The following is a 24,173-nucleotide window of genomic DNA, read 5'->3' on the forward strand; positions in this document are numbered from 1 at the left end:
AAAGTGATATAACTATAGATCACTAATGTTTACACTAGCCAGAAAGAAATATCTTTGATTTTGCCCAACTATGTATGCAATCTAAACTGTTTTTATACTAAATAAAATAGAAGTATTAACTTTTTTATCACTGTGCACATGAATATAGCTCCTTATTTATGCTTCATTAATGTTAAGATTGATAAAACACACTTAAGGGCCTCTGAAGAAATCTGTGCCCCAATGTTTGCGTAGACCACTTGGAATGAGCTAGTCCTTGTCCTGCCTTCAAAATTGATTTTATATTCCATGATGACATTTTCAGTTATCACATATATGTGAGACAATATCATACTTCATATTTGGAAACTATATAGTTTCACAAATTAAACTTTACAATTTATTTAATTTGCAGACATGGTCTTGAATTAATGTAACTAGAAATTACAACTATAAATAAATAAAAGGAAAATATCAATCAAAGACCCAATTTACAAATACATATTGTTCAGCAAAGTGTTAGGTCTTAGATTGGTACACAGATGATTTAAAAACATGGTTCTTATGGTCAAAGAACACACAATTTGAAAATTAATGAAAACAATTACAACTGGTTGAAAACAATATATGGTAATATGTTGCTTACCAATGGGGTTACAAGCTGAGAAACACATCCTTAGGCAATTTCACTGTCATGTGAACATCATAGAGTGTGCTTACACAAACTTAGATAGGGTAACCTACGACACACCTAGGCTATATGATAGTCTATTGCTTCTAAGCTACAAATCTGTACAGCATGTTACTACACTAAATACTGTAGGCAATTGTAGCAGAAAGGGAAGTATTTGTGTATCTAAACATATCTAAATACAGAAAAGGTACAGTAAAAATACAGCATATTAGATAAAAAATGGTACACCTGTATAGTAGAAGAAGTACACCCTAAAACAATGATAAAAAGTATAGTATAAATGTAAACTGTAACATAGTCATTTATTGTCATTATTGAGTATTATGTATTGTAAATATTTGTATGTGCTATACCTTCATATGACTGTCAGTGTAGGTTTGTTTACATCAGCAGCACCACAAACATGTATTGTGTTGCCCTATGATGTAACAACTGCTACAATGTCACTAAACCATAGGATTTTTCATCTCCAGTGTAATCTTATGAGATCATGGTTATATAAACTGTCCATTGTTGACCAAAACAATGTTATGTGGTGCTTTATTGTACTGATATTAAGGCTGTGTTTTACATTTAGGATTGTTGTAAGTACTCCCCCCCAAAAAAGTTAGAAGATCAATGAAGAATGGACTGAAGCTTGAACTGGGCCTTTAAAAATAAATTGAAAGTGAACGTACCTCTCAGTCTCCATCATTACTGGACTAACTAAGTATTGAATAAGCAGCAGCATTTGTCCAACCTAGGGCCTACACTCATGACATTCCCTTTACCTGAAATGTTTTCCTCTTGTTCCTGCCCACTGTGTCTTACTATCCCTGATCATCATCCTTAAGGTCTCAAATTAGTTCCCTATTATACTTCTTCATTTTACTCTACATTCTCCCTTTGTTGCATTTATCAAGACTGTCATGAAATATTTACTTATGCAATTATATTTTAATGATTGTGTTTTTGCTAAAAAATGTATATTCCAAAGGGTGAAGATCAAATATATTTTGTTTTCTACCCATCACAGTGCCTAACACATTAGGCACTCGATGCCTCATATGAATGAATGAATGAGTCAAGCATAGTGGATACTGGGGGAAGAAAGATAAATAAACCCTTATATAACTCTTGGAGAACACACAATATAACAAAGAAGAGCAGGTACTCATACAACAGTTAAGTTTTAGGGCTAGCTTTTCTAGAAATGTTTTAAAATAAAGACTATTCACTTAGGAGAGGATTTATAGCATTCCTGACTTGTGAAGATCACTTTGTCCCACAACATATAATTCAAGCTACTTACTATAAGCCTGAATGGTTGCACTACAAGATCTACTTGCAGATTTTAAAGAATTATGAATTGAATGCCTTTGATAGAGTAAATGCATTTGAAGCACAGTACCCTTAAAATGAATTACAATCTGAGACGGTACTCTAGGAAGAATGGAGAGATTCAAAATGCCCTTTGTTCTTTGATGTTTTTTCTTTATCCATATGTAATTATTCTAGTCTTTTGTCTTTAGAATTATTGTTCTATGCTTCACATTTCAGGTTGTTTATTACCAGCAGTTACGTGGATTTACTATTTTATGAAGCCAAAGAGATGGCAATTAACAGGTTTAGAACACTGGTGATTTTATTTTTAGATGCATTTTCCTAATATTAATCACTATATGTAAATCATCACATTATTCAGTTGTAGTGGTTTTAATTGTGCTAGATGAAAGAAACAATGATAATTAAGAAATGCATATGTATATGTGAAAAAATATAAATAGCAAATTGTAATAGTTGTCTTTAGTGAAGGCTTAAGAGGAATTTAACTCAAACAACACTAAGCATTTTAATACAAAGCGAATTAGAAAAATTGATGTCTTCTCTTGTTTAAAACAAAAATAAGAACCTGAATAAAATGTTATCCATGATTGTAACACGAAATAAAGATTTGCTCAAGGGAGAAAATTATATTGGAGAATTTAAGTCCACAAAATACTTGACTGTTGCTACTTAACACAAGAAACTTGCTTGCCTATGGATAAGCATAATAGCATCAGTATCGCTGGTATAGGAAATGAAGCTTAGTCATCAAACATTCTGCATGTGAACCTTATGTATGGATTTTAGGGTGTCCCACGATAAAGAGATATTTAATTGAAGAATACTCTCTTCTTCCTTTTTTTCACCTTTTGGTTGAGGAATAAATAAATGTCCCTCTTTTTACTTTTAGTTCAAATTAATACATTTGGTTAACAATGGCTTCTAAAAAGTTAAATTTATTTTCTTGTGTAACAATCATTCTGGAGAAAGGCAACATAGGGTGAGTGTAGCTGCTCAAGAAAGTGATGAGAGACCCAGACTTCTTCTTTCTTTATGCTCTGCCATGGTGTGGCATGTTCTAAAACCTGTTAATTGCCATCTCTTCGGGTTCATAAAATAGTAAATGCGCATAACTGCTGGTTATTTTGTGACAGTTATTAATTTTTGTAATATAATAACTTGAAATGTGAAGCATGAAACAGTAATTCTGAAGACAAAAGACTAGAATAATTAAGTATGAATAACGAAAAAAATCAAACATGCTCCAACAGCATCTCAAGATGGCTGTTGCATTTGAAGGCAAAACATCCACATTTCAGGTAGGAGGAAGTGGGGAGAGAAGAGATTTTTCCCCATTGAGCCTACATTAGGGAATGAAACCTCTGTCCAGGAATTGTTGTCTCCATCTTATTGACCAGAATCGTATCACAAAGCCACCTCCAACTGCAAGAAAGGCTGGGAACTTGAGAATTCTATTTTTTAGCCTTATTGGAAAAGATGATAAAAGTTGTTGGGGGGGTGGTTTGGAATGGGTGTTGTCGAGCCAATTTAACAGAATCTGCAATAATACTACTTAAGAAGTTCCACCTTCCCTTAGAGAGGTCCTCATAACACAGATTCTGAGGAAAGGTAGAGAGAGGATAACTGGTTGGTTATTCTAGCTGTGTAACAAACCACCCCAAACTTAGTGGTAAAAACAGTAACTTTTCTTATGGTCCTGTATTCTGTTGTCCAGCAATTCAGAAGGGCACAGTGGGCACAGCTTGTCTCTCTGCTTCTCTGCTCCACAGTGTCTGGGGCCTCATTTGATACAATAGTGCACATGGCTGAGAGTGACTTTCATCACGGTGGGGCACTGGAATTATCTGGAGGCTGCTTCACTCACATGTCAGGCTCCTGGGCTGGGATGACTTGAAGGCTGAGCTCCGCTGGAGCTATCAACCAGATACCCACACTTGGTTTTCTCAGGCTTCTATCAGGGAGGAGGCTGGATTCTGAGAGAAGACACTGGAAGAACAAGTATGCAAACAGATCCAAGCAGAAGCTACATGACTTTTATGACTAGCCCTGAAAGTCACATGGTGACTTGTAAAAATAGTTACCAGTCCACCCAGATTCAAGAGGAGGGGACAAAGACCACTTCCTTTCAATGGAGGATGCCCAAAGAATTTGCAGCCATTTTTAAAAACTGCCAGTCACAGTGATGGTACTCAATATTGAGCATGATTTTCTTCTCTTCTCTTCTCTTCTTTTCCCTTCTCCTTCCCTCCCCTCCCCTCCCCTCCCCTCCCCTCCCCTCCTCTCCCCTCCCCTCCCCTCTCTTCTCCTCTCCTGTCCTCTCCTCTCCTCTCCCCTTCTCTTCTTTCTTTTTGAGTCAGGGTCTCGCTCTGTCACCCTGGCTGGAGTCCAGTGGCCTGATCATGTCTTACGTCGAACCCTGGTTGATCATGATCTTCTAAGAATGGTCTTATTCAACTTTCTTTCCATTTTCCCCATTCCTCAAGCACACTAAGAAAAGGCTGTATTACATGGACACATGGAGGGGAACAACATACACTGGGGACTGTCAGGGGGAGGGGAAGGCATAGCTTCAGGAAGAATAGCTAATGGATGCTGGGCTTAATACGTAGGTGATGGGATGATTTGTGCAGCAAACCATCATGGCACATGTTTACCTATGTAACAAACCTGCACATCCTGCACATGTACCCCTGAACTTAAAAGTTTGAAGAAAAATAAAAAAGAATGCTTCATCCAGGTGAAGTTTTCCAAAAACAACAACAACAACAAAAGAATGCTTTTGGAGTTCCTGGAGCAGGTGGCACGAATTCAATCAACTGATACCCTCCAGTGTCAAGTCTCACAGAGAGACAACAGTTCTCTACCTCAGTGCAGAAAGAAAGAGTGAGGCCCTCCAGGGCTACCAGTTACAATAATATTATGTTCTTTTTTACTACCTTGTACGTGGTGCCAGGGCCATATCCCGCAAATTCAAAATTCAGCTCCTGTAGTACAATCCATATGGGTAATCATAATGGTTGCTGACCTATGTGATTCCAGGAGTGGGTCTAAATCTTGAGACTGTAAACCAAAAACAAAATGCTAAGGCCCCCCAGCCGTCTGAATGGACTTCCTCCTCAGCCGAGGCACTCTTAAAATTTAACCTGAAAGACTGGAAGACTGGTTGAGGCCATGATGGGGCCGTGGGTGTCGGATATGCCTCATTATACCTCTCTGGCATTAGCATCAACACAGCCCTTAACTCTGATAAGAAGAATTTGAAGCATTTACAATCGATTCTCTCTGAAGCCTGCTGCTTGAAGGCTTCCTCTGCATGATAAGAATTTTGATCTTCACAATCCTTTAACCCAGACACTTCCTTTCAATTGATCCCAGGTCTTCAGATAAACTCAACCCAGAATTAATTAATTAATTAATTAATTAATTAATTAATTTTGAGATGGCATCTCGCTCTGTTGCCAGGCTGGAGTGCCGTGACGTGATCTCGTCTCACTGCAACCTCCGCCTCCCGGTTTCAAGCGATTCTCCTGCCTCAGCCTCCTGAGTAGCTGGGACTACAGACACGCCACCACACCCACCTAATTTTTGTATTTTTAGTAGCAACGGGGTTTCACTCTCCATCTCTTGACCTCGTGATCCACCCACCTCGGCCTCCCAAAGTGCTGGGATTACAGGCGTGAGCTAACGCGCCTGGCCCAGAAAAATTTTAAATTCACCTATAACCTGGAAGCCACCTCCCCCACCACCCATCCCCCTCCTGTCCCCTGCCCCGCTTCAAGTTGTTCCACCTTTCTGAACAGAACCAACATATTTCTTAAATGTATGTGATTGAAGTCACATGCCTCCCTAAAATGTATTAAACCAAGCTGCACCCTGACCACCTTGGGCACATGTTCTTAGGACCTCCTGAGGGCTGTGTCACAGGCCATGGTCACTCATATTTGGCTCAGAATAAATCTCTCCAAATATTAAAAAAAGAAAAAAAGACTGTGTTAAATCTATTGACGAAAGCCTCTTTCCAGTGTTTCTAAAGGAGGAGTAAGCTGTTGATCCACTGGCCGGTAGAGAGCATTCAGAGATGAGGCTGTTCTACCAGGGCCAAGCTTGGTGTTGTCTGCCTAGTGAGCATGAACAGGATAGGGCAACAGCCAGAGAATTAACCAATCTCATCTTCACCAAAATGGCTGGGTTTTTCTATGTGCATGTTCAAGTGTAGAGAATTGCTTTTCTATTTTCCATGCAGTTTGGAATGTATGACGTGTGTTTGTAACAAGGAAGCCAGATACAAGGTTAGATCATGAAAAGACAGTGAGGTGGAATCCAAGAAGGCTCCTCTTGATCTGCAGCGAAGAGTGACATGTTGTGATACTCTTCATAGCACAGGAAAAACATCACAGCAACATTTCTGAGTGAATGGGGTCTATGAAGAACAATTTCAGGCACTAGATATCATTTCTGATTTTGAGGCTCGTACAGTCCTATTCTTTGCAGGTAAGTGCAGTGGAATGATTTAATCTTATCCCTGACATGTACTAACTCTGGGACTCTGGGCAAGTTCACATAGCTCACTCTCAGTTTCTTTTTCTCACTTCAGATAATGGGGATAAAAATGCCCATCTTAAACTGCCATTATGAGGATTAAATGCATATTTTCCCTCCCTCTTGCTTCCTGGAATTCCTGTCTTTTTACCTCTGCCCCTAATGATGAACAGTCTGCCGGTGCTGAAGGATGTCACTTCCTCCTGGAAACCATATGACATGCCATCAAAGACTGGGTCAACTCTCTCTCCTATGTACTTCCAAATAGAGCTCTGTGCTTACCCCTGTCATAACTCTTAACATCCAGCAATTCATTTCATGAATTCTAGTAGAAAAATGAGTGTGTTCCAGGCACTGTCCTAGGGTCTGGAAACAAAGCAACGAATAAAATTGGAGAGGTCTCCACCCTTGTGTTTTGAACTCTCTAGTAGGCAAAAGAGACAATTAATAAGCAAGCAAATAAGATGAATGTAATTCCACAGAGTGATAGGCCCATAAGGAATTAAAGAACGTGGTAGGAATGAGAGTGACTCTTGAGGAGAGCCTGGTTTTAAAAGGTCGATGAGTCTCAAAATAAATATATTAAAAAGGCCGATGGGAAAATTCCAGTCAAGGACATGACATTTGAGCTGAAATCTGGATATTGAGAAGTAGCTACGTATATAATCTAAATACCAGGCACCTTTATAAGCACTCCCAGTGTATTAATTCATTTTATCTGCACAACAACATATTGAAGTAAATGCTCTTCTTATTCCTAATTCACAGATGAGACAACAAAGGTCCAAGGGTGAAGTAACTTGCACAAGATTACAGGGCTAGCAAGTAGCAGAATTTGTATTCAACCCAAATAGGCTGTCTTCAAAGTCCATATTTCCAAGCACTGTGTTGTAACTGCCTCTCAAAAGCATTTGATATTGCATCAACCTTGACTTTTTACTTGTATGTTTCTCCTACTGGACAGTAAATTAGTTTATGGTTAGTACTCAGTCCCAAGAATGCCCAGCTCTTAGTGTGTGTGTGTGTGCGTGTGTGTATATATATATATATTTATTTATTTTTTCCTTTTGGTCTGAGAAAGGGTCTTGCTCTGTTGCCCAGGCTGGAATACAATGGCGCAACCATAGCTCACTGCAGCCTCAACCTCCCAGGCTCAAACAATCCTCTCACCTCAGCCTCTCTAGTAGCTGGGACCAAAAGCAAACAACATCACACCTCGCTAATTTTTAAGTTTTTTGTAAACATAAGATCTCCCTGTGTTGCCCAAGCTGGTCTCAAACTCCTGGGCTCAAGCGATTGCTCCTGCCTCAGCCTCCCAAAGTGCTGGGTTTACAGTTTTGAGCCACCTTAGTACAATCTTAATAAGTATTTATCAAATTAATTCATGATTTTAATGAGCAAATATATATGACATGAAGGATCTCACTTAGTGCTTAGCATCAGATAAGTGATTAACATGTTAATTCTTCCTCCCTCCCTCCCTTCCTAATTCCCTGAGTTAGATTCATATATCCTGCTGCTGCACTAAAAGTACCTGGAAGATTTATAGAGGAAGGGTGGGGGGCTGTCTTCATAACATATCAAAGAAGAAATTAGAAGAAGTTTTTCAGTTTGTTAGCAAAAGATGGAAAAGTAACTTCAGTGAGCTCTGAAGAAAAACATGTGCAAGCAAGGAGCTTGTAAAGTAATAAATTTCTGCCCTCCAGCACTAAAATGATGTCCTCTGTGCTTTAAGGAAAAGCAATTTGGAAAATTTCCACACATACACGTTTTGGGGAAAATGTAGGGAGAAATATAAAGTTAGTTAAATGTCTTTCATAGGCACTTCAAAGCCATGAACCATTAAATCATTTCCACAGCTTTTTGACTGTTATCAACCCCACCCCCAGAACATTGCCAAAATCACCCCTTTAAAGGTTGCAATAAATTTGAAAGCCAAATCAGATTTGGGAATGTTGCACAAAAGAGAACTATATCTTGTACTTTAGATACATTTTTTTTTTTAATATCAGCACAGAGCTACATCCTGCCAAAGATGAACTTGGAAGCAGTGACCTTTGCGGATGACTTCTCTTTGTTAGATTTTTGCCCTACAGGATTTTAGAAGCCTGGTCACAAGAACATTTGAGGATACCAGGTGGTTTTGAAATGCATGGTTGAGCTGGATGACTTATCTTGGCCTGAATGTAAATTTGGAAAAGGAGTTCTGTCATGAAGAAAGCGAATATTTGTACAAGAAGCATCAGCCGCAGTGTTCTCAAAAGTAACTGTAACCTTCCCGCTGCTGCTGCTGAGTTTGATGGAGAAAGATGGTGAGCTTAAGAAGAAAGCAAGAGATCATTCTCTGCATTTTTTTTACCCAGTGCTGTGTTGAATTTCTTTCTAGTTACAATTGTAAAGTGTCACAAACAAAAGTCATTTAGCCTATGCAACTTCTGCCATTAAGGTGTTGTCTCTAGAAAATGAACTACAATGTTAGCAGATGCTCCAGCAATGTTAGGGAGAGACCTCCCTGCTAAATGAATTACTGAGATGGGCACACTTATAAGAAAAAGGTAACATTTTATGCACTTAAACACCTAGCATTCACATAAAGGATTGAGGAACAGCATGTATTTAGTCTGTATTGTGAACCCAGTTTATAACTCCAAAGCTAGAGAACTGAGCCTGCTCAGTAATAAAGGAGCACAAAGGGAGTAAAGAAACAGCAAGGAAGCAACATTTACTGCAGCCCAACTCTCCTGACAGTGAGTGTGGCAGAAAGATGAGAGCAACCAAGCAACCAAGATACAAGCAACCAAGATACAAGCAACCAAGATAGCAAAGCGGAGGTTGGGCAGCTGGAAGCATGGAGTACAAATAAATGCTATTAATTCATTAGTGGACTGCAGTTACACATGGTGGCTCCAGCTTACAATTCTGGCCTCAACAACTTAAAGACTGATTTCCTCAACGACCAGCCTGCTGTTCTTGAAAGGAGAAAGAAATAGGATTTCTTAGGTTATTATGCTACTATGTCACACTAAGAGTGTGACAAAGGAAGTAAATTTCTACAAACATTAAATGCAGCTACTGGTTCGAAGGTCATGTTTAAGTGTGATCACTTGACAGGATCTGGCAATGCATCAGTTTTGTTATCTTTACCCACCCCTTACGTTAGAAAATACACCATCAACAATGGATAGCATTGACAGCTTTCATAAATGTAGGCTGAACAGCAGGTGGCAGCAAAGGATACTATAAGAAACACTTCCACTGGAATATCTGAGAAAATTCTAGAAAACTCATTTTCGTAGGATGCAGGTAGAGAAGGCCCTCAAAGATGATTGCTCTCTTACCTCTGGCTAAAGCACGTGATAGAAAAAGAAAGCTATTGGGAAGGTTGATCATGATAACTAAGTTTAAATGCTTTTCTGTCATTTTAATCACCTTTCCACTAAATGAAAGGATTGAAAAAGCTTACCAAAAGTTCAAGTATCCCACAGCAAAGCCCAGCTAATCCTCTTACAAAATGGACATGCATGCTGAAAAGAGATTTTTATAATAAGAAATGACATGCAATATTTATTATAAAATTATCATTCAGTCCAGTATGGAAATATGCCAGTTGGACGTTATCTGTCTCTTGGCTCAGAAGAAATATTAATGGAAGAATATTAACATCCTTCAAAGAAAGAAGGATATATGTAAAGAAAACATTAAAGGCTCATTCATCATGAATGGCTCTTTGAGAATGAGACAATAGCATGGGACAAATGAGACAGGACAGAGCATCTGGATCTTTTGATAAAAAATACCCAAAATAAGAAGGATGAAAATACTATAAGGAAAAGGATGTGTCTTAATTTGTTGGAGGGGTAAGTTTCTTGGAAAAGGGGAAATGTGACTACCTGTGAGTAATTATAATCCAGGGGAATCTACCTATATGCAGATAACAGAGATAATTCAACATTAAGACCAGCTTCTAGGTTTCTGAGAAAACCAAAGCAATGATCTTAGTAAATCAGGTTTTGAAAAAGACTGCAACTTACTTCTGTACATCTTGGCTGTGATATTATCTGTTTTACTTGATGCCCACCTAGATCAGTGAGTAATTAGATGGAGTTGAATATTCCTCCAACGTAGTCAAAATAACTAACTGATAGAAAGAAACACACATGGCAGAATAACTTTAGATTCTGGAATTATAACCACTGGTCTCCAAATGCCATTTCAGCCCTAGGATAACAATCTTTGCTGTGGTTTAAGTTATGAAATTCCTGACTCCCAGTTTCCTGACTGCAAAGTGGGCGTGGATGACTACTCCTAGCACCAAGCCATGTGAGGATTAAGTAGGACACTGTATCGAAATGCTTGCCCCATATAAATTGCTTCTTAATACATTTTATTTTCTTTCTCTCTTCAAGAACATTCCCAAAGGCATTGACACATTTTGAGAAATGTCTCCAAAACATCCTCACTAACATCTGCAAGTGTCAGAAATTCCTAATCGTAAAGTTCTATCTTTAGATGGAGACAAAATGCCTAGGAAGATTAGCTCAGTCTGACCAAGGACCGATGCTAAACAATAGCACATAGCAGATGATGTAAACATGGCGATGGGCACAGTTCTCCATTCTAATCACAAATAAGGTCTAACCTTATTTGAATTCCAATTTCATATTTCCTTCCTTCCTTCCTCTTTCTTTCTTTCATTCTTTCTTTCTTTCTTTCTCTTTTTTTTTTTTGGTGGAGTTCAGCTTTTTTGCCCAGGCTGGAGCACAGTGGCGGGAATCTCGGCTCACTGCAACCTCCACCTCCCAGGTTCAAGTGATTCTCCTGCCTCAGCCTCCCAAGTAGCTGGGACTGCAGGCACCTGCCACCACGCCCAGCTAATTTTCGTATTCTTAGTAGAGACAGGGTTTCACTATGTTGGCCAAGCTGGTCTCGAACTTCTGACCTCAGGTGATCCGCCCACCTCAGCCTCCCAAAGTGCTGGGAGAGAGACTTTGATTTCTCCGAATCCTTGTAAAAGAGATTCATCCCTTTCCAGTCAGTTGTGGGCAGGGAGAAGGCAGAGGTAATGGTGGTTAGATTGGTTGCATAGTGAAAATCTGGCTGCCCAGGTTCAGGTCTGTGGCAGGAGGTGGAGTTCTCATAGCAGGTGTCATGAAGTGGTCAGTTACCCCAACCTGTGTGTGCTACCACCACTACTATTGCTGTACACATGCCTGTACACACTCAAGCACATTCTCTTCTTTATGTCACATTATCATGTAAACTACCATAAAATGAAAGCAAATTATTTATGAACTCTTATTGTTTTGCTTAAACATCACAGATACATTTTTTTTAAGTAATCATAAAACAACATTTTTGGAACCAAGTTGCCAAGAATACTGTGAAAATCTCAAATACCAGCAAGACTTCAAAGCAAGTCCCTTAATCAAACTAGTGCTTATTTACTAGGAAAAAATGCAAAAGGCTGGGACGCATAGCCCAGATAAGCCAGTTCTGAAGTTGCTGTCATAAATGAGGTATGGGATGTGAACAGCTTCAGTGCTTGTGTCTTTGAAATGTTCATTCTCTCTGTAACCTTAAAAATAATTACCGCTTATGATTAAAAACTGTATTTTTCATATGATTGATACTTTATTTTACTAAAAGATATTAATATGAGTGTTGATGTAACCATCGAGCATCTAAGTGCTATATTGTGTTGTGATTCTTGATGAGAATTAACAAAGTGAAAACATCATGTTCTGTTGCTGTTTACAATTTTTTTCTGTTTCCTTTGAGATACTTCACCTTTAATTGGTGCCTTCCCAAAACACATTTTTCTGCTGATACCAATAATCACAGCCTCCTCTGCTAAAGTGTCTCGGTGATGCACATCTGGTTCTTGAGAACTGAAACCCAGAAAGGGTCTCAAATATTTCATGCTGAAGCCCCTCAAAGGGCAGTTAATCACAAGTATCTGCTCACCACTTAGCTGGAGTGGTAAAGCAGATGATGTAAAGATGGTGATGGGCACAGTTCTCCATTCTAACCACAAATAAGGCCTACCTTTATTTGAATTCCAATTTCATATTCCTTTTTTTTTTTTTTTTGAGATGGAATTCAGCTCTTTTGCCCAGGCTGGAGTGCAGTGGAAGAAAAATTCAGCGTTTTCTTCCCTTTTAAATATCAATTCATTTGCGGAGACAGTAGCAAAACTATCAAAAATACTATGCCTGAATTGCAGGACTGGTTGGATGAATGGAGCAGTAATGATAGGTTGCTTAATTTTATTTTAGTGTAAGTTTGTGCTATATTTCTCTAATGTTTATATGATTTTTTTTGGTACCAGACAAAAAATTCTGGATATGCCTTGACTATAGAAAAGGCCACATTTCAAAAATCTGGATTTATAATAATAATTCCTCTTTGAAAGGATGAATATAACATATAAAGCCTATATCTGCAAACTTTTTAGTAACATGTGTTTTCTCTAGTGCTTTAGGTTTACACATTCACTAAATCTAGAAGGTAACTTAAAATTATCCAATGGGTTCACTTCATTTGTGGAAGAGGAAATTGAGGCACAGCTTGATTAAAAGAATTGTCCAAAGTGAGTCAACCAACAACTTACTGCAATAAGAATCTGGTGTCCACCTTAGAGTGGTGGACTGCTATTACTTGCCCTCCTCACAATTATAATTTTATATTAATTCTATTTTTATCATTATTGATAACACTACATATATTTTACCCCAAGGAAAGAAGGAAGGAAACAAGAACCTAGTCTTAAAAATCTTAAAATTTCAAATACTGAAACTCAAATCACTTTTCCAATAACCTGAAAAAAAATATCTTTCAAATAATATCTCCCAAGTAGCCCAGGAAATAATGGTGGGCCTGTGGTTTTCTAGGTAAAATAAGTAAATATCAAATGATATATAAAAGTTAAATATTAAGCCAGTTAACTTTTTCACTTGCACTCTAACCAGGAAATTCTCAAATATTGGTTCTCTACAGTGATAGCATATTATATTATCTGGGAAAAGAAAAAATTGCCTAAGAATATCAGAATCCCTGAAGGTGGTCGTGTGTGTGTGTGTGTGTGTGTGTGTGTGTGTGTGTGTGTGTGTGTGTGTTTACTATTTCGGTTAGAATACTAGTGTGAACCGCGGTTGAGAACCGCTTTCCCAGTCTCAGCACTCAACCCTATCCCACTCTAATCCGCTGAGGGACAGCATCAGACCGCTCAAACTCAGAGGGCACGCCGAGAACCGCGTCCCTTCCCCTTGAAGCCACGAGGGGGCGCTCCTGCACCGGATTTGCTCATTGGCCGCCTCTCATCCCCCAAATTTAGAGACAACACCGCAGAAAAGGCTTTCGTTTGGAAGCCGGCAGAAAGAGAAAAGGCAGGGAATTGCCTTTGTATATCCGAGGGCCGACGGATAATTCGTGTAAACAACAATATCCCTCAAGATGAGCTCTTCGGAGCTTCCTACCCAGTGGCAGCTCCCCGTTTTCTCCTTTGGACTTGGAAAAACTTCACTTCCCGCAAGGAGAAAGTCGGGGGGCCGGCGGCTGGGTGGGATGGTTTATGGCTTTGGATCTTGAGCAGTTCACTGTTCAAATAAATCTTGGTGAGCCATAGAGAACAATCTCCACATTAATCTTGTGTAATTAGCGTTATAACCCTCGGCAGCCTAAGAAGCAGGAAAGACAAAGCTTTATGCAAATGTGGCTTCCCTGGCCTCCGCTCCTCCTCCGCCCGGGCCCCTTTCTCCCTGGGCCCCTCGATCTCGCGCCGCAGACTGCGAGCCTCTTTTTAATGGCACGGTACCTTAAAACCAGTGATAAGGTTCTTGACTTTAAAAATAAAAAATGAAAAAGGAGAAGCAGCGGCAACCGAAGGAGGGGAGAGACGTGTGCAAGCTGAGGCTATTAGAAGGATTTAGCTTCTGGGGAATTGGCACCTGCCTTTGGCAGCCAGCACTGTCCAGTTAAGGACGGAACCCAACACGTGGGGAGACTTAGGGACTGGGAAGTGGCGTTTTCTCCAACCAGCAGCTCTTGGGAGGTTGTGGGGGGGCGGGGGGGGGGGGGCGGTGCGGGGGCAAACCCGTGGCTGGGGCGCTTTTCTGGCAGAAAGGGGCAGTTCTCCCAGTTCGCCCCAGGGACTCCACTCTGCCTTCCAGACCCGCACATTTCCCAGTCAGGAGTCTTGAACCGAGCCCTCAGATGACAGTCTCTGCTAAGCCGAGACAAGGCCCCACAGGAGGAGGAGGGTGTGAGGAACCCCAACACACAAGTCTTCACTTGCAAAGGTTGGGGAGGGGGTTGAGGGAGAGGTGCCCGCAGAGGCCGAGGTGCGCGCACAGCCGCGCACACGCGCGGGCACCGACGCGAAGCCGAGAGGATGCAGATCCCCCGCCTGGCTCTGGATTATCTGCTCTGTGTTTACTGTTTCGGAGGGCTTTACGTGAAACGAATAAATTTTTACTTGCTCCCAGGGACCGGCTTGTTGTTTTATGGCATGTACTTATTTAAAAGCCTCTTTTGTCGGTGTTGAAATGGTCCAAGCTCCCAAACCCTGTGCCGGGCTATGAGCGTGGAACCAGCCGAACTGCAATGAGCATCACTGCAGCAGCAAAAGGCAGTGAAGAGAGGAGCCTTATTCTTTCCAGTACACACACACACGCACACGCACACGCACGCACTCACGCCCTGAATGCTTGCTTTTCTTTTTCACAAACCAGAACCTAATGTTTTTCATGTCTTACACAGGGGGCTAAGGGAATGTATTCTAGCGAATTATACCTGAAATACTGCAAGATTTGAAAATTTTCTACAGAAAGTGTATTCTGATTAAAAACAAACCTCAATACATATCTGTTTATCCCCCTTCCATGTGTATCCGCTTAGGGTTTATTCCTCCCTTTTCTGACTTCCCCACCCTCAAAAAGGTAAGCATAATGCCAGGCAAAAGCTAAGATTGGGCTCTTTTAACCCGTAATCGCTGTCGTCTCTACACTTTGTTTATGAAACGGAATAAGAATGGAGAGAGACTTAATTTAACAGCACAACCAGGCTGTATAAATACAATATTCATTTTTTAAAAGCGAAGTGGATTTGGTTTACTCTGAAGAACAGTAATTCAAACAGCACCTATCTGCTCCAGATAGAGTAGCTATGCACATCTATACAGGCAAGTTTGAAATTTAGAACAAGGCTTTGATTTATTCCCTTTCTATCAGTGATTAATGCCCCTTAATTAGCTAATCTCAAAGCCATTATTTACAACTAGGGCAGACAAAGGGAAAACTGATGATCCAACACTTATGTCAGTTTGAAATTTTGAAACAACAAAAAGTGCTTTATTCAGAGTGGAATTCTGAGTCTCTTAGATGAATCTCAAAATAACAAAGAAACTCAAAGAAAAAAATAAAACAAAAATAAAACAAAATAAATGGGAACAAATAAAACTCCATCTCCCAAACAATCCCAACCGCCACTCCTTTTTCGCAGAAATTGCTGCCTGGCACAATTTGAAATGTGGCTATTTAAAGGGAAAAGGAATATATCTTCTCTTCATTCCATCTAAAATCTATAAGTTTTCAATTTTAGCATAAGAGGAGAAAGCGTTTATAGCTGAGTTTTTCCAAGTTGCTTAAAAGGAAAGGGCTTTGGGATTTGAAAAATCAGTTTTCTCTTTGTACTTTTCCAAGGCGGGGATTTGAAGCTGGGCACTAGATTTGCTTCTCAAGATCCGGTGCCTTAAACGTTGGGGAAGGGGCTGCGGGGGAGTGTGGGGAGAGGAGGTTTGTAAGGCGCCCTTTAACGCGGACCTGGCCTAGGGTCCTGAGGAATTCCTCTTTGAACTCTGCTCCCTAAAGCACCGCCCTCGCAGCAGCTCAAATTCAAGTGACCCTAAAAACTCGTTTCTGGACAGAACTGCAGGTCTTCGGGGTCTTTCTTGGTAGGAAACCATTCAGACCGGGTATCCTGGTGGCTGTCGGGGGGTTCTTGAAGGTTCCAGGGAGTCTCCTCAGGAAAAGGAGAGCGCAGGCCTTGGTTGCCTGATGTTGCAGAGGAGCCTAGGGAAAGAGCGGAGCAGGCCATGTCTGAGCCGAGGCCTGGGTCCTCCACTGTGGACGCGCTGCTGGTCGCCTCAGACCACTTAGGTCATCTCGGCGGTTTATCCAGCTCTCTCCCGCTTCAGATTCCGGAGTGAGGAGAGCACCCCCATCCCCACCTTCACCTCCATCATTTTTACGAGGAAAACCTGTTCATTCGCTGCATCTGGGGACCCTTATGTGCGTTTGCCTGTTAAGAAACAGAAAATATGAAAGGAACAATACCGCGGGACACGTTGCCAAGTCGACGGGGGCAGCTTAAGGTGTGCAAAAGTGGAACTGAGGAGGACCTCGAAAGTCCTTCGATCTGAACGGTTAGGAAAAAAAGCTTTAGGTTTATTCCTGGGCTCCTGAATCCATGACCTGAAAGGGAACAGAAAAAGGCCTTTGGAAAGCGGAACGTGCCTTCAGGCAGCACTAGAATGGGATTAGAAATCCCTCCTGGAAAGTAGGAGGCGAAGGAGAGGGAAACTACAGGGGAGTGGAAACTGGGGAAGGAGAGGCAGAGCTCGGAGACGGGTGTGTGTGTGTGTGTGTGTGTGTGTGTGTGTGTGTGTGTAGGGGGTGGGGGCTCGGGGCCAGGGAGGAAGGAAAGGAAGAGGGTAAAAAAGAAGCTAGAGGAGCGAAGAAGGAAAAACTAGAGGACCTCGTGTCTTTCGTGTGAAAGCACCCGCGTCCTAAATCGTAGGAACGAGGTAGTCATTAGCGCTCTGACCCGGAGGAGAGACGCATTAGAGAAAGAAATGAACAGAGAACATGCACCTCCCTGCCTGGTTCATTTCGCTTTCCTTGAAATCCCTGGGCCTCAAGGTTCCCATCGCTTAAGCTTTCCCCATCTCTCCCTCCCCCGCCCCTTCAACATACAATGCACTGAGGCTGAGAGGGAAGGAACGGAGCGAGTCAGGGAGAGAAATCATGAAGCTTTTCAGGGTAAAATACAAACCTGCTCATCCAGCTTGCCAACACGTTTTTAACATTTGCATCGACTAATCTGTGAACAGTCGTTGGGGTGATAATTTCGTCTGAGAGATTAACCATTCAAGTCTCAAAGTTCCCAAGGATTGTGAAATCCTGCTTGTAAAAATACAGATTTTGAAGTGTTTCTTTTTTCTCCCTTTCTCAAATGAAACCCCGAGGATGCGCTTTGGACTTGGGGACTGAGGGCGTGGTGGGCAGACAGCTGTTGAATCCAAACAAAGACTATTCTGGATCTGACGCCGTTTCGGTTTCCATCTGGGAGTACTTTTCATTTCCTTCTTCCCATTCCAAAGGAAAGAAATGGATTAGGAATGGGGCAGTCAGAATTATGTGTTTATGGCGGACAGATGGAACAGGAGAGGATGAACCTTCAGCAACAAAAGGATCATTGAGATTTGGTTCCTGGGTGTGCAAATTTGGAAACAAAATAACCAAGGAAGCTATGGGAATACCAAGACTCTAGCTATCGACAATGTTGACTCATAGACGAATCATCTCTCCTTCTCTACTTTCCTATCATCAATCAAGAATTGTGGCCCCATCTCACAAACTGCCGCGGAAGCCAAAATTGCAGGACATTTTGAGAAACAAGTCTTGAAATCTGCCTGAAACTAACAAAAGCCACCCGCCAGTCAACCAGAGTCAGTCGCTCTCTCTCTCTCCCTTTCTTCCCTCCTCTCCCCCACTCTTCCTCGTCTCCCGCCCCCGCCCCCCATCTTTCTCCAGCTAGCCTCGCCCCAATTAACGCCCTACAGCCAGTCAGCCTTACACCTGCTGGAAAAATCTTGGTGGCAGTGGTGGGAGGTGGTGGTTTTGGTTTTTAGCAGAGCGCGGGAGCACCCTGTCACACCCTCCTGAGACCGCCCTAGGACCGTCCTCTGGAATATCTTGGAGCCAGGAGCCAGGGAGGCTTTCCTCAGTCCCAGTCGTTGCCTGTCGCCGCTTTCGGTTTCTCTTCCCTAATAGCACCCGCCACCCCTTTTCTCTGAAATTCTCAAAGCAATTTCATCCTTTGCAGAGTTGCAAAGCTCTCCTACTGACTTGGGGTGTGCGGCTTAAAAAGGGGAGAATGGAGTAGCTCGAAAGGGAAGGAGGGTCACATTGAATTCTCCTTTTAAAAATTTTAATTTCATTGACACGTCTTGAAAGGTTTGTTTTGGTATAAGGCAAGGCTGCCAATTCCAAATACAAACAGACGGACACACACTGTGTGTATCAGATGTTGGGAATAAAAATGGTTTATTGATTGAAATAATAGAGGCATTATTTTGATTTGTCTTGACATGGACGCTGATTTATAGAGCTCTTCCCCCAGTGATTTCTTCTTGTAGTCCAGACACATGGAAATGATAAAAATCTCACCAAAGCTCACCTTGGTGCTAATCAAGACTGCTCGATGCACGTTATAAATCTGATACAATATTTATTGCTTATCTGTATTCGAGGGGTTAGTCTCCATCCTAGGATTGTCCCTTTCAAAAAAAATTTTTTGGATGCATCTGTTTTCACTTTGCACTTTCAACGGGCTGGAGCAGACAATAGTGTGAAAAACATCTGAAAATATGAGGCGACAGAGCTGCATGTGTGTTTCATTTCTGCGGTGTTAGGGGAGAAAATAACAAAAGAAACACACACTACAACACACACGCACGCACGCACACACACACACCGGCCCAGGACCTCAGCACAAAGGGCGCGCTGACCCAGCGCTAACACACAAGACAAATTAAAGAAAGGGGCAAATCGGAGGAGGGGCTAAGGCGAGGGTCCAGGCATTTCGGGAAAAGATCAAGGACAAGGAGAGTTAAGAAACTGACCGTGGGCCAGGGAAGACCGGAGAGAGAGAAAGTAAAGTGTCCAGGACTGGAACTCACGTCCCTGAGGCAGGGGACAGTAAGTTTGCTTGTAACACAGACAGTTTTCCTTGACTGCAGGAAACAAGAAAAATAGTAATCATAAAACAAGCACAAATCCCCCAAACATCAGGGGGGTAAAACCCCCATTATTAGCCATCACAAACCAAAACCCAAACCGAGTCTTTTCTGCTGAATTGCTGCAAGATCACAAGAGACCAAGAGATCCGGAGTCAGGCTGTGAACTTGGGAAAGATAAGTTGCCCGGCGAGGTTGGAGGTAGACTGAGGAACGCCTTTTTTTGTGAAGGACACAAATATTTGCAGAGTTTAAAGCTGCAGGAATACAAAAGCAGGAGTGAGATTATCTGATTACGGATACAGGATGTCCGAGTTGTTGCCTCCCAAAAACGACTGCGTAAAAAAAAATAAATAAAAGGCCAGTTCGAAAAGTGAAATTTTAATATCAGTGAAAGCATCGGAGGGACTCGGATTGAACGCGGCAGCTCCGGAACTGGACAACAGCTGCGTGGTGCAGCCAATCCCGGGGCCTGTGGGAACGAGCGACCGATCTCAGGACCACGCGGGCGAGAGCAAGGAGCCTCCCGGCCACACAGCCACAGGCGCTGCGGAACCCAGCCCGGACTCTCCCCGGCTGGAGTGTGCGAAGGGCTTCCCGCCCAGGGGCCCAGGGTGGTCTTAGTGAAAAAGGGATGGCGCTGCAGCACTGACCACGTTGCCCTGGTTTCTCCATTTCTCCTTCCCAAGTCTCTGCCTCTGTTTCCCCATGACCCGGAGGACGCGCCTACGGAAGAGACGTCTGGTCGAGGGGGTGCCGGGGAGCGGAAGGGGGAGGGGAAGGTCTCATCCCTGGGACGCTGACACCCCCCTCCCCGCGGCACTCCAGCTCCGAAGAGCGAGCTTCGGTTCCGCCCGCCCTCCAGACCATTTGCTTATTCTCACTATTGTTTTAATTTATTGTGCAGCCTGTTGCGCCGCGGGCCCGGCTGAGCCATTTGGGGCCCTCTAGATGCCCTGCAGGGCGCCTGTCTCCGGACGACCACCACGCAGGAGCAGCGGGGGCACGCGCGTGTTTTCTTGTGGATAACTGCCTCGGACTTGGCGGGGCCGGTCCCCACCTGAAGCTCACCTCAGGCAGTCGCTAGAAGTTCCAATCCAATCGTGAGCTTTCCTCTGGGAGGGACAGGATCCCCTTCAACTCCTGAGGCTGCTCCTCTGGGCGAATCCCACAGTAATTGCGCATTTCTCTCCCTTTAGTGCTTTGGAAATTTAGAAAGCGCGCTTTCATTTGTACATCGCCTGCCGACAGCCCCTTTGCTGATTAGAGAAGCCTTGTTCCCCCTCTCCACGCGTACGCACACTCATTTTTAGTTTTAACAAATGATTTAAAAATCAAAACAAACCTCTGAGTCAGTCCGCCCAATTTTATGCTCCATCTCCTCTGTGTATGTGTTAGATTCTCTCTGCCAATCGATGGGAAAGAGCATTTAGGGGCATTTGCAATTTCCTTTGTCACTTGCCACTCTGTGCGTATAGATTTTACATATCATTTGTTTACCAAATCAGTTCGTATTTTCTTAGCCCAGGGTTCAGGATTTTGCGTTTGTGGATTAATTGCCCAGTACCCAAAGGGCAGGACAGTCAGAGGAGCCACCTGATGCAAGAAGGATCAGCTCACGTTAGGACAAAACAAGGAGGTTGTTGTGAGCCCTTCTGCGGGCTCTGAATTAACTCAAACAGCCCTTCCTAGGACTTGTTAAAAAGACCGTACCTTGAAGGGATAGTGTGGTGCCTAATGTCTGCTAGCCTATAACTCAATGCATTACAAGGTCATTTTTGCCCAGCCCAAAGAAACTGAGTAAATCCAATGTCCCTGGTTGAAGATAATACGTAGTCACTTCATTTCTGGCCATATGGTGCCTACCTGCATTCTAGTCTTGAACAGTCTCAGGTTCCTTACTGGGTCTCACTTATTGATTTTTTTACTAGATTACATCATAATTTAATATGGCTGAGTGATGTGGAGCTTGTGGATGATCCTTTTATTGCCCTGATTAAAATCCACACAGTAAGAAATTTTTTAAACGGAGGTTGATGATGGAAGCTTCCTCAATAAGTATCCTTCAGTCAAGAAATGATTGAGCTTTAAATTATAAGAATCTCAAAATTACTGTGCAAGTGTTTGGCAATCAATTTCAGGTTTTCATGACAACAGGAGCCTAGGCCATAGGATGGCAAACTAAATTCAATGATCACTTGTCTGCTTCTGCAGATAATCTTAAAGGAAGCTTCATTACAATTCACCCATCAAACAACTGGCATCTCAAAATGCATCAAGAGCTTTGTCTATGTAAGCAGACAGCACATTCTATGGCATTTGAATTTTATAAAAATAACTAGTTAAAAGATATATTTTGAGGTCAGGCTTAATTTTTGTTTGGACCAATTTGCCTTATCATTTATAAAGGTATCCTTAGATGTATGTCGTTACACCAAGCTTTCAGCTGTCTCTAAGGACACATTAAGGTGAGGTGGTGCTGCTGTCTAAGATTCTAAGGACAGCATTCATGGGTAAACAACAGACAAGTCCTGTGCCCTTACCATTACTTCAGAGCACAGCAGTTCCACTGGATTCAAGGTGGCTTCTTCCTACTCTTGTCTTCATTATTGAACATAATTTGATCTTATTTAAGATGATAATAAGTTCCCTGACAGTCAGAGCATGCTGGTCAGAGCAATGTCTCTTTCTTGTGAATGAAAGGACAATTAATAGGAAACTCTGTTGGTCTTCTATATCGTCTTTGTTAGGATGTGGGCAGAGTGAGTCAATAAATAGAATTTGAAATAAGCAACACATATTTGCCCTCCAAATCTTAAGCTATAATTCAATATCTAATGGATTTGAGGAAAGAAAAAAGAGGTACCTGGTCTTCTGAGCTGATAGAGGGTTAGATTATAACCTGATTGAAGGACTGGCAAAAAGAGTAATAGACACAATTGATGGTGTATTTTCATTCAACCACCAGCTAGGCAGAAGAGATGTGGACCAAGGAAATTCCACCTCAACTTTCTTTATTCTGATTCCATGTTCACCAAGAAACTTTCTGATTATAATTGAAATTGCTGTTTATATCTGCTAAGTAATGGGAATGTATTTAGGTCTCTGAGATCTTTTTTGTGTATATATATATATATATATATATATATATATATATATACACACACACACACACACACATATATACATACATGTAAACACACAAAACGTTTTAATCAATGGATTCTGGTCTTAATCACTGTGGTTAAAGTGATTTTGCTCTGAGAGACAGTTTGCTAAGAAGTCAGGTTTCCGGCTAGGTGTGGTGGCTCACACCTGTAATCCCAACACTTTGGGAGACTGAGGCTGGTGGATCACCTGAGGTCAGGAGTTCAAGACCAGCCTGCCCAACATGGTGAAACCCCATCTCTACTAAAAATACAAAAAGTTAGCCAGGCGTGGTGGCAGGCGCCTGTAATCCCAGCTACTTGGGAGACTGAGGCAGGAGAATCGTTTGAACCCGCGAGGCGGAGGTTGCATTGAGCCGAGATCCCACCATTGCACTCCAGCCTGGGTGACAAGAGCGAAACTCCATCTCAAAATAAATAAATAAATAAATAAATAAATAAATAAATAAATAAATAAATAAAATAAAAGTCAGGTTTCCAAGCCTGTGAGATCTAGAATTAGGCATGGCAGACTATGAGGAGCTTTCCCAGAAAGATACCCAACCAACGTTTCAGGAATGGCCAATTACATCTTCCTAGTAGAAATACCACCTTATTGGCCATCTGCCCATACTTCAACAGACAGCAACTTTGCCACTGTATTTTCAGTCCTTAAACTTAGAAGTGTTTGAGAATTATTATTATTTTTTAGACAGAGTTCAGCTCTTTTGCCCAGGCTGGAGCACAGTGGTGGGATCTCGGCTCACTGCAAACTCCACCTTCCGGTTTCAAGTGATTCTCCTGCCTCACCCTCCTGAGTAGCTGGGATTACAGGCGCCCGCCACCGCACCCAGCTAATTTTTGTATTTTTAGTTTAGTTTAGTTTAGTTTGATTTAGTGACAGGGTTTCACCTTGTTGACCAGGCTGTTCTTGAATTTCTGAGCTCAGGCAATCCGCCCACTTCGGCCTCCCAAAGTGCTGGGATTACAGGAGTCAGCCATCGTGCCCTGCTGTTCTCTAAACGAACAAATCAAAACCTCACAAACGTCCCCAGCTTTTATCAAAAATTAACTTATCTAAACTACTGTTGAAATTAATTATAGCTTTGGTCTTCACCAAATCTTGGGTTTATTGTTTGATACCTATCACCGTAAAATATCAGGTTCTTTAACATTTAATGTAATTTAATCGGGTGTTCTCTAGGTGCTGAATTCTGCCTTTTAGTGAGTACAGAAGTTTTATTATTTTATTATCTTTGTTTGTAATTCTGTTAACCCTTTTCTTTCCTCAGAAAAAAGTACTACCAAATTTATTTATCTGCTGTCCCCACAGAAAACTCTTCATCTCCTGATTATAAAAGTTGTTTATCACTTTTATGTTAGTATTTTTCTTGTGTGGCAGACCACATTACATCTCCTACTTCAAAGATGAATGTACCTGAATTTTGTAAAAATTTAATACCTACCTTTAGGA

General features: G+C 41.8%; 2 long non-coding RNA genes across 2 annotated transcripts, besides 2 other annotated features; both read right to left on the reverse strand.

Moving 5' to 3' along the window:
• Positions 13,806–14,343: an enhancer, noted in NCBI's record as "H3K4me1 hESC enhancer chr5:50258938-50259475 (GRCh37/hg19 assembly coordinates)". NCBI's record gives its function as "activates a minimal SCP1, AML or CMV promoter by ChIP-STARR-seq in primed H9 embryonic stem cells {active_cell/tissue: H9 hESC(primed)}" and the evidence as "EXISTENCE:reporter gene assay evidence [ECO:0000049][PMID:30033119]".
• LOC124901181 (uncharacterized) lies at positions 15,853–18,274 on the reverse strand. The gene is made up of 2 exons (XR_007059131.1): positions 17,588–18,274; positions 15,853–16,834 (listed from the first exon to the last, which is right to left on the reverse strand). It is a non-coding gene; the product is annotated as an uncharacterized LOC124901181 (long non-coding RNA).
• A 1,644-nt stretch (positions 18,275–19,918) lies between these two features.
• Positions 19,919–20,889, reverse strand: LINC02106 (long intergenic non-protein coding RNA 2106). The gene is made up of 2 exons (NR_104653.1): positions 20,625–20,889; positions 19,919–20,279 (listed from the first exon to the last, which is right to left on the reverse strand). It is a non-coding gene; the product is annotated as a long intergenic non-protein coding RNA 2106 (long non-coding RNA).
• Positions 20,369–20,890: an enhancer, noted in NCBI's record as "H3K4me1 hESC enhancer chr5:50265501-50266022 (GRCh37/hg19 assembly coordinates)". NCBI's record gives its function as "activates a minimal SCP1, AML or CMV promoter by ChIP-STARR-seq in naive H9 embryonic stem cells {active_cell/tissue: H9 hESC(naive)}" and the evidence as "EXISTENCE:reporter gene assay evidence [ECO:0000049][PMID:30033119]".

Source organism: Homo sapiens, chromosome 5, assembly GCF_000001405.40.
Source record: "Homo sapiens chromosome 5, GRCh38.p14 Primary Assembly".
Classification (NCBI taxonomy): domain Eukaryota; kingdom Metazoa; phylum Chordata; class Mammalia; order Primates; family Hominidae; genus Homo; species Homo sapiens.